General features: G+C 43.2%; 1 protein-coding gene across 9 annotated transcripts in view, besides 3 other annotated features; it reads left to right on the top strand.

The window, feature by feature from the left end:
- The first annotated feature begins 294 nt into the window (after positions 1-294).
- Positions 295-10,322, top strand: part of FOXJ3 (forkhead box J3) — a 159,333-nt gene continuing 149,305 nt past the window's right edge. For 3 of the 9 annotated variants that reach the window (XM_047449488.1, NM_001198850.2, XM_024454163.2), the window contains exon 1: positions 295-549. The gene's annotated coding sequence lies outside the window, so the exon portion shown is untranslated. Of the gene's footprint in view, positions 550-939; positions 1,117-1,219; positions 9,772-10,322 lie in introns of those variants that run through there. The other 6 variants (NM_001198852.2, NM_014947.5, XM_047449489.1 and 3 more) reach the window with 4 other exon arrangements.
- Positions 904-1,423: a silencer, noted in NCBI's record as "silent region_758". NCBI's record gives its function as "represses an Ori minimal core promoter by ATAC-STARR-seq in GM12878 lymphoblastoid cells {active_cell/tissue: GM12878}" and the evidence as "EXISTENCE:reporter gene assay evidence [ECO:0000049][PMID:35858748]".
- Positions 904-1,965: a biological region, named in NCBI's record as "NANOG-H3K27ac-H3K4me1 hESC enhancer GRCh37_chr1:42799881-42800838".
- Positions 1,008-1,965: an enhancer, noted in NCBI's record as "NANOG-H3K27ac-H3K4me1 hESC enhancer chr1:42799881-42800838 (GRCh37/hg19 assembly coordinates)". NCBI's record gives its function as "activates a minimal SCP1, AML or CMV promoter by ChIP-STARR-seq in primed H9 embryonic stem cells {active_cell/tissue: H9 hESC(primed)}" and the evidence as "EXISTENCE:reporter gene assay evidence [ECO:0000049][PMID:30033119]".

Here is a 10,322-nt window from a genome sequence, read left to right as displayed (position 1 = left end):
TTCCTCTCATCCAATCAGCCTAGTATTCATCTAACAAATATCTAAGTCTCCAAATATTGAGCCACCCATTGTGAGTTCAAAAGCGTGTTTGGCGCTGCAGGGGAATATGTGACTAACGCGAATGAAGCAACAGCAAATACTACACTGGAATGTAATTAAGTGTGAAATTATAGGGCAGATTATCAGTGCTAATAGTTTAGAGAAAGAATCAGTGAAGACTGACGTAGAAGTAAATTCCAAAGTTCACTCGTCGACCAAACTACCCTTCTAAACGCTCCACCTACTGATAGTAGTACCATAACCTGGGTAGCTACCTTGAGAATTAGAAGGGCCTTTAGAGGTCCAACTCCTTTAAGAAAGAAAGAAAGACCAGGCACGGGAAAGGCCTCCGCAGACATGAGTCTAGCACCTGGGACTCATGAAGTTCTGAAAAGAGGGGTGTCCTGAAGGTCCAAGGCGCCTTTGTTGGGGGTCCCGGAATCCGCGGTGTGCCAGGTCGGAAAAGGCGTCCGCTTTCCTGGAGAGGAGGCTAAGGTGCCGGGCGCTTCGGTGAGGTGGCGGATGTTGGGGGGCGGGGGAGGGCAGAAGGCACCATTCCTTCGGGGCATGGGGCCCCAGGTATCCGTGGGCAGGGTCCAAAGCCACCGATCCCTACTGTCCTCAACTGCGGGGTTGCCTCCGCCGCCTTTGCTCCCAGACGCCACTCCGAGGCACAAGGACCCCAAGTCGCTCGGAACTGCCGGCCGCTAGATGACACCGGCTGCGCCGATGCAGAGCCTCGGGAGTCTCAGGGCACTACTTGTCCCAGCGGAGGGATCCTGCGTGCGTCGAAGCGACCGTGACCGCGCAGGGACTTGACGCCGCTGACGCCGGGCCGGCGGCGCAGCGACGCCGCAGGAGGCGGTGGCGGCGAGGGCGGGCGGGGGATGCGGGTCGGGAAGTAGTTCCGGGTGCGCGGCCCCGGATGTTGGCTGCTCTTGCTGCCGCCGCCGCTCTCGGGGCTGCTCGGGGCCTCGACCGCTCGCAGTAGGCACCGTTGGGACCTTTCCCGGGGGGGCGGAGACGCACGGAGCGGCCGGGGGCTCGGCCGGGCCGTCCCGGCCTGCGCAGCCTGAGGTAAGTGCCCCCCGCCAGGGCGGCCGGGCCTGGGCGGCGGGCGAGGAGGCGGGGCTGTGGCATCTCCCGGGACGGAGGCAGGGGCTGTCCTCCGCGAGACGCCCTCTCTCTTCCAGCCGCAGCCGCGTTGCGGGGTGGGCGGCGGGTGGGGCAGGGGGCCTGGGCCCCGGCTGGGGCCTGGCGGACGCCGAGGGCTGGGTCCTTCCCTCCCCCGCGGCGCTTCTCAGCTGCTGCTGCCCCTCAGCTGGGAAGCAGCGGCTTCGCGTCTCCCGCCCCTCCCCCAGGCGGGGCACCGGGGAACCAGACGTGGATCCCGGGGGCGCCTAGTCCGAGGGCAGCGACCGTCTCCTTCCCTCCATGACCTGTCCCTTGGCCTGGGCTAGCCCCCGACCCCGGCACTCTGCGGCTTCTTCCCTTTAAGCTTGGGGGCGCTTTTCTGCCGGCAGGGCGGGCTGTACCTCACGCCTTGGAGTGGCCCTTTGGGGAGAGGAGGCCCATGCGAGGGTGCTTGCGTTCCCGCCCATCCTGTGTCTGTGTCCTTTGCTGGGATTAGGGCAAAGGCAGCCGTTCCATGCGGACGTGTTGCTGTCCTGTGTGTGTTGCATCCTGCCCACGTGGTAGAGTGTCTCCCGCCCCCCCTCCCAGCTCCATTTTTGCAGCTGGTGAGGAGGGAGGTTAACGGGATGGTTTTTCCTCTGTGATTTCCTCCGGGTGGCGTGGAAGGTGTTAGGGTCAGTTTGCTTTGCCGAGGCCGGCTGTTGGTTAGATGAAGAATCGAGAGTTGTACTCTGAAATTGAGGCCAGTAGGGGACATAACAGGGCTTAGTTTCATTAACATCTTTTTTCCTCTTCCATTAGCTGCTCTTATTCTTTTCTCTGTTGCTTAATTATAGAGAATAAGCGCTTGCTACCGATGCATTCAGGTGTATAGTTTTCATTTCTCTGTTTTACTTTTTGTGTGTCTGGTTAGCAAAGGTTTTACTATTCCGTGTTGGTGCATTCCACGTCTGTGTTGTCCCTGGTTGGATTCCTGAATGAGTTAGAGCCATTCACTCTAATTCCTGAAGGAGTTAGAGATTGGTGGGCACCTTTTTGGTCTTTTTCTGAGATTTATTTGTGTGTGTTTTCTTCCTTCTATTTTGTTTCCCAGTGAAAAAGCGTGATGTCATAGGAGCGTTATATGCATAGCTCTTTTTCTCACAAGGCAGCACTAGTTTCACCTAGTCACTTATTTTGTAGAAGCTCTTTTACTTCACTTTTCCTCTTACTCTGTTGAGTACCCATTGCACACTCTTTTTTTGAAACTGGTTTGAAACATGGTTTGAGTAGTTTTTTTCTTAATGTCTCTTCCAGATTAGGGTTTCCATCTTCTGTTTTGCTGTTTTGAGACCACAGATTGTTCCCGCAATAACAGTGAGAGAAGCCTATTCCTCCTGGTCCCTAGCAAATATTTATAGAAAAGCAGTAACTCCTCTCTTTTTCTGAGTGGTATATATTATATAGACGTGATTAAGTTTTTTAGTTTCTTAGATAAATAGGAGGATTTCTCTTTTTGCTTTTGTGTCTCAGAATTGAGGTGAATCTTCTTGGTTTTGTGCTGCCGAGGACAAAACTGGGAAGTTTCTCATGCTTTCATTAGATTTTTTTTGGATGAGGCTAGAACGTGTTTATTTTGGCTCTTTTTTGTTCATTAGTTTGGGTAAAATAAAAAAACTTAATGTTTCAAAGTCACTTACTAGATTCCAAAGTGGCCTGCATTCTCACTTTTTCACATTGTACATTCTTTGAGTATATTTTTGACATTTTTTTCCTTTTATCTGGTACAGTTCGTATATTCCCTTTCCTTCTATGTAGAATGAAAATATTTAAATATAGATTTTAGATTATATTTTTTCATTATGCTAAGTATGGGTGGGGCAGTGGAAAATGGAGAATGTTGTTCTGATACATACTGAGGCTTTTTGTTTTTTTTTGGTAAGTCAGCATTTGTGTACTTCTGTAAAGTACCGAGTTATCTATGTGTGAAGTCTGTATGAAGAGACGAATAAGATACGTGGTCTCTTGGAAAGCTTCAACTTATATCGAAAGAACAGAGTTTCTTTTTCTGTTCGGGAAACATGTACATCATTCAGAATTATCAAACTGCATCAAACTTCTCCTTGGGATAACAGTACAACCAAGGTCAAAAGTGTAAGGGACATTTGAGAAAGATACAAATTTCCAAAGGGAAAGAGGTGTATTTCAGGAGAGTGAAGGGGCCTGTGCAAAGCGAGAGAAGTGGCAATGTACAAATGATATCAAGGAGCTTGACTGTCAGATCATCTGTGTTGGTGAATAATAATAAATGAGTTTAGGATTGGTGAGGGGGTATTGATGGAGGATCTTTCAAGGATAGAGGGTTTAGTTTGATAGGGTACCACAATGGGTTCTAAAGAATGAGAGTAAGATGATGCATCTTGTTCCTGAGGAAGGTTTTTGTTTCAGCTGAGTGTCCTGGGAGTGGAGAGACTGATTAGAGTGCTTATGGAGAATTTTAGGAATAAGCTGATGAGGGTCTGATATAAGATAGTGGTTGTAGGAATAAAATAATAGCTAACATTTACTTACTGTATGACAGGTATTCTAAGCGCCTACGTTTGTTTAATTCATTAAATCTTCATAATAAGGTATTAAAATCAGAAGGGACTTTGGGCAAGTTGCTTAACCTTATGCATGTAATTATTCCCATATACAATGAACGGTTAGATGAAAGGTAGATTTTGCACTGACCAGGGATATAGATGCTAGTAAAACACATCAGTAGATGTGTGTTGGGAGGGTAGTAGTATAATGAAGAAAGAGCTTTGAGGTTTGGAATTTTGGGTCTTGAAATAGGCTAATAGCATTCTGAGAAGAACCAGAAAGTGCATCATTTCCAGGATAGGAAGATTTTCTACAAGGGCAGGGTGTTGACAGTTTCAAATGCGGTGTAGAAGTTCAGAAACAGTGACTACAATGAAAAGACAATTGAATTAAAGCAGAAGAGATAATTTGTAAACTTAGAGAGAAAATTGAAAGGAGGGGTAAGAATAGATGCCAGATTTGTTTTTCACAGGATTTGTAGAGACATTAGTATCTGATATGGTAATTATTAGTATTTCCTTAAAAAAAGAAACAAACTTATGTTCCAAAGCCAGTGATTTTATACTTTAACGCTTCTCTCCTTAAACTTTTATTCTTTTTTTTTTTTAAAAAAGCTTTCTTGAAGTATAATTCACATACCATTTCATTCACACATTTAAAGTATACAAGTCAGTGGTTTTTAGTGTATTCACAGAGTTGTGCAACCATCACCACAGTCATTTTTAGGACAGCATTTCAAAAAAAAGCCTTGTACCCATTGGCAGTCACTCCCCGTACCCTCACCTCCAGGCAGCCACTAATGTACTTACAATCTTGTAGAGATGTTGATAATTCCAAATGCCTGTTGTGGGCATTTCATACAACATACGGTCTTTTGTGTCTGACTTCTTTCACTTGCATATGTTTCAAGGCCCATCCATGTAGCATGTATCAGTATTTCATTCCTTTTTATTGCCAAATAATATTCCACTGTATGTATATACTACGTTGATAGCCATTGCTTTAGTTGATGGACATTTGAGTTTCTTATTCTTTCATTATTATTATTATTATTTGAGACAGAGTTTCTCTCTGTCGCCTAGGCTGGAGTGCAGTGGCGCCATCTCGGCTCGCTGCAACCTCTGCCTCCCAGGTTCAAGCGATTCTCCCACCTCACCCTCCACAGTAGCTGGGATTACAGGCGTGCACCACCATGCCCCGCTAATTTCTGCGTTTTTAGTGGAGACGAGGTTTCACCATGTTGGCCAGGCTGGTCTTTGAACTCCTGACCTCAAGTGGTCTGCCTGCCTCGGCCTCCCAAAGTGCTGAGACTACAGGTGTAAGCCACCGCGCCTGGTCAAGTTTCTTAATTCTTTTAAACTCCTCCCCATTTTCATTGAATCTTCACCCTGCCAACCCCTCACATGGCCTTCTTTTAGATTATAACCTCTGCCATGCATTTTGCTAAGCATTGGGGATATAAAGATGAATAAGACATGGCCCTTGAACATTCATATAGTGTTTTATTGGTTTATATACATTTTCTCATACATTCTCTAATTTGATCTCAACAACCCTGTGATAAAGGCAGAATATCTTAAAGATGAGCAATTTGAAGTTTAGGTGACCTGCTTAGGGTTGTACACTTAAGTAATTGGTGGAGCAGGTAGGTCTTCTTAGTTCATATTTGTGCTATTTCCACTACTCTGTGCTGCTGTTTTAACTTAAAAATTCTCATGTAATTTCCTGGAGACTTAGAGGGACTGGAAAATGTACTGACTCAAAGAATCACTGTTTTTTTTTGTTTGTTTGTTTTGTTTTTGAGACAGGGTCTCACTCTTGCCCAGGCTGGAGTGCAGTGGCACGATCATGGCTCATTGCAACCTCAACCTCCTGGGCCCCAGTGATCCTCCCACCTCAGCCCCCTAAGTAGCTGGGACTACAGGTGCGCGCCACCATGCTCAGCTAATTTTTGTATTTTTTGTAGAGAAGTGGTTTCGCTATGTTGCCCAGGCTGGTCGCTAACTCCCGGGCTCAAGTGATCCGCCAACCCTGGCCTCCCAAAGCGCTAGGATTACAGGCGTGAGCCACTGCAGTCAGCCCACTGATTTTCTTCCGGACTTAAAATGAAGATTTTTTTCCCTAGATTCTGCCACTTGTTTGTTCTGTGTTTTAGACAAATCATTTCATATTTCTTTTCTTTCAGAACTTTCATGGAGTTCATGTGATGATAATGTAATGATAATAATAGCTAACATTTTTTGAAGCCTTACTATGGGCCTAAAAGTGTTCTAAGTACTCTACATTCATTATCCATATCTTACAACCCTTAATATTTTATAAATTTTATAAGTAGGTTTTATAAATATATCGTAGATTTTATAAGTTTATTGTAGTTGTAAATTTTATAAATACGGTAGTTTTACAGATGAGGAAATGGGCACAGAGAGGTTGATTTGACTAAGGGAACATAGCTAGGAATGGAAAGAGCCAGGATTTGAACCCTTGTAGTCTATTTTCAGAACTCTGTGGCTCTTAATCACTACACTGTTCTGTTTACTGTGTTACGAATTAATAGAGGATAATATTTCAAGTAAGGGCATGATAGAATATGAAGATTTGATTTTGAATGTAGTTGGGGAAACAGTTAAACAGCAATTTTAACTTGACATCGCATCCGCATTTCTTTTAAAAGTGGACTTAACACTACAGTGTACAAAGATACATATTGTTTAGACATTTTTTTGTTTGTCCCTGCTCAAAACTTCTCAGCTCAGAAATTACATTATTTTCACTGATCTTCACTGTTGGCTTTGTTAGTCACTTAGCTTTCCACATTGCCACTATTCAGAAACCTTGGCTTGAGACAGCTAAAGCTCACTTTTACCTCTCTCCTCAGCCTTCCTTTAACTGTGAATTTTTGTTTTCCATTTTGAACAGTTAGCCTTTCAGTCCTAGAGGGGGTTATTCTTTACCTCTTCCACTCCAAAACCCAGAAAACACCACAGTGGCGTTTTATAACAACTGTCACAAAATTTGACCATCTTAATTGGCATAACATGATTTTAGTGCACAAATAAGAACCAAAGCATAGTGTTTTGGTTAAAGAGATTGACTTACTCTGAAATTGGAAAAGGCATCTGCTGTACAGGATTTTTGATTTAATAGAATTTGTTATAACCAGATCAGCAGAGCATTATTACTGTGGGCCATCTGTTGGAATATGGAAATAGCTTTGTTATATGGAACCAGATGTTGTTTTTATATTTATAACAATGACATTCTACTTATTTTAAGTAACCTTTTGTAGTTAGGTACCTTTGGCTGCGATTCTATTTGACATGTATATCAACTGATAACCTGAGAATGTGATGTCTTTCAAAGTGGCTATTATTCTGTGGGATCAGGACAACACAGATGAAACAAAAAGGAAATGAGACTCATACAGTGTCAAACTTTAGTGCTATAACAAGATAAAATATAGGAAAAATGACCTGGTGTGGTGGCTCACGCCTGTAAACCTAGCATCTTGGGAGGCCGAGGCAGGCGGATCACTTGAGGTCAGGAGTTTGAGACCAGCCTGGTCCACATAGTGAAATCTCGTCTCTACTAAAAATACAAAAATAAGCTGGGCATGGTTGTGGGTTCCTGCAGTCCCAGCTATTTGGGAAGCTGAGGCAGGAGAATCGCTTGAACCTGGGAGGCCGAGGTTGCAATGCCGCTGCATTCTAGTCTGGGCAAGGGAGTAAGACATTGTCTCAAAAAAAAAAAAAAAAAAAAATAGGATAAGTATGAATATGTGATATGAGATAATTAGGACCATATTAAATAAGAGCTCTGACCTTGAGACTATTAATAAAGGCCTCGTTTCTAATAATTACTAAGCCACTTGGTTGCTCTAAGAATTTTTACCCTAAATCTAAAGTGATTTGATTTTGATGTAATTGGACCTACATTAATACCACACTGTCTGACCATTGTTTCCCATCATCAATTGATGAAATAGTCTGTAACAAGACTCATACTTGTAGAGTGGGACTCAAACTTAGAGTGCAATAAGAGGAACTGTTTTTAGAACACAGACTTAGAGAACTCTGTTCTGAATTGAACGCTAATAATTTGAAGATGACTGGGTCTTTGGGTAGGAATTTTTATTTTTTTGAGACAAGATCTTGCTGTGTCACCCAGGCTGGAGTATAGTGACTCCATGAGAGCTCATTGCAACCTCCCAACTGCAGGGCTCAAGCGATCCTCCTGCCTTAGCGCCACAAGTGGCTGGGACTAGAGGTGCGTACCACCACACCTGGCTAATTTATTTATTTTTAATTCAGACAAGATCTGACTATGCTGGCTCCCTAGGCTGGTCTTGAACTCTTGGCCTCTTCCTCCCTCCTTGGTCCCCCAAAGTGCTGGGATTGCAGGCGTGAGCCACCAGGCCTGGCCTGGGTGGGAATTTTTAGAGAGTCTCTCCAGAAACTGCATGATATCTATTTTTATTGTCTTCAAATCAATGTAGAGTCTGTGGATTCCATAGAGTTGGCCAGCTATTCTAGGATGAGCTTTACCCAGTAAACTGACTTTCAGTCAGAGTTTTCACCTGGAGTATAAAACAAAAAGTTCTAACGGAATTCTCCTACCTAGAGTCCTCCTCAGTGGTATAGTGTTTACTAAGGAAATAAGATTGATCTTCTGATTGATTGGTAGAGTGTGGTGCCAGTGTGACCTTATTAAAAACCTTGTAAATTGGAATCATCTTTTTTTTTTAAGATTGGGACCTGACCTTTGACACCACTAATAAGCCTTGTTTCCAATTAGCACTATTGTGTTGAAACAGATTTGTGAGAGGAATGGATAATAAAGGAAAGACTGCTAGAACTTACTAACTGTTGCAAATTTTGTTTGCTTACAGAGAGAGGGGATTCAATATGATGGAAGTAGGTTATCATAAAGACTCTAGATTTTGGCTGGTGGTACATGGGTGCTTATTAAATTATTAAAATTAACTTTAAAAAGTTTCTGTGGCTTGGCCATCAAATTTTGGGTAATTACAGACACAACAGTCAAACATGCAGCAATCAGGGTCAGGTTGGCCTTTCTGAATGAGGATGGAGCAGACTGTTACGGCAGGAGGTGAATGATACATGGCGTCTCTTTCTGCTAGGATAGTTGGGTCTGTGAGTCTATGACACCTTACTTGTCTACCCTGTGTACAGAACTGGTGATGGTATTGTCCCACTGTGTATACGTGGGTAGCCGTCACCATCAGAAATGGCACCTTTGTGTATCAGAGGAAGTCGTGTTTTATATTATTGTAGGGGATGTGTATTTTCAAAAGATTTCCACCTTACATTTGAATAATATTTTTTCAAAAGTGTTTTATCTGATCTGTTGGATTTTGGAGACTTATAACAGCCTTGTGATATGTGTTAATAGTGATATGTGTTAATAGTGATATTCCTATTGGCAAATGGAGAAGATGAGATAGAAGCTAGGTAGGACTCAGTGCCACTCAGTTATTTAGTGGTGGAACAGATGCTGGAACCCAGACCCTGCATTCTCCTTGTTTCTTACTCTTAGTATGAAACTGACAAAGTTTTGGTGAGGAACTTGCTCTGGATTTTTGAGGTAAAAATGGAAGGTTATAGACCCCAAAGGACCTGGCCTACTTGGAGCAGAACATATGATAATATCAGACTTAGAGTACATAAAACCAATGGGAGCGGTTTCTCCCCTTGTTAAATTTAGGTCCATTTCTAGTCATTGGAAGCATTTTTACTTGAATCTGCATTCTTTGTCTTCGTAGAATTCAGGAGTTAAGGGAAACTTTAAAGGATTACTCAATAGCAGATTTGGTCTTGTTTTATGTAAGTATACATCTATAAAATTTAGACATTGAAAAAGTATCCCTGGAACATGATTCCACTAAGGATGCCTAGGTTACTGCCACAGTGGGAGATGTGTTGTCTGTTGCCTGGTGGTTGGGAAGAGTAACAGTATATAGAGAAGTTATATCTGCATAGAAAAAAAAGACTGGGAGAGAATGCATCATAATGGGTAATTTAAATTTTCTTCTTTGAACCTGTATATATTTTCTAAGCTCTCTACAGTGACCATATATCATTTTTGTACTCAAAGAAAACGTATACAGTTTGATTTTTATGGTTCAAGTGAGAATTTGGAAAAATGTGGATCTTCGGACTTTTTTTTGAGTTGGAGTCTCACTCCGTCTCCCAGGCTGGGGTGCAGTGGCGTGATCTCTGCTCATTGCAACCTCAACCTCCTGGGTTCAAGTGATTCTCCTGCCTCAGCCTCCCAAGTAGCTGGGATTACAGGTGCCTGCCATCACGCCTGGCTAATTTTTGTATTTTTAGTAGGGACGAGGTTTCACCATGTTGGCCAGGCTGGTCTCAAACTCCAGACCTCATGTGATCCGCCTCCCAAAGTGCTGGGATTACAGGTGTAAGCCACAGTGCCCAGCCTGATTTTGGGACTTTTGAAGAGCAGTTTAAACACTTGATGCTATGAAGTTGTTTTGCTTTCTAAGCAGTTTGTTAACAAATCAGTTTGATAAATTATTGATTATCTTATGGGTCAAGTTGTGAGTG

Source organism: Homo sapiens, chromosome 1 (genome assembly GCF_000001405.40).
Source record: "Homo sapiens chromosome 1, GRCh38.p14 Primary Assembly".
NCBI lineage: Eukaryota > Metazoa > Chordata > Mammalia > Primates > Hominidae > Homo > Homo sapiens.
The sequence above is the reverse complement of the archived record's forward strand: the minus strand, read 5'-3'. Positions and strand labels throughout refer to the sequence as shown.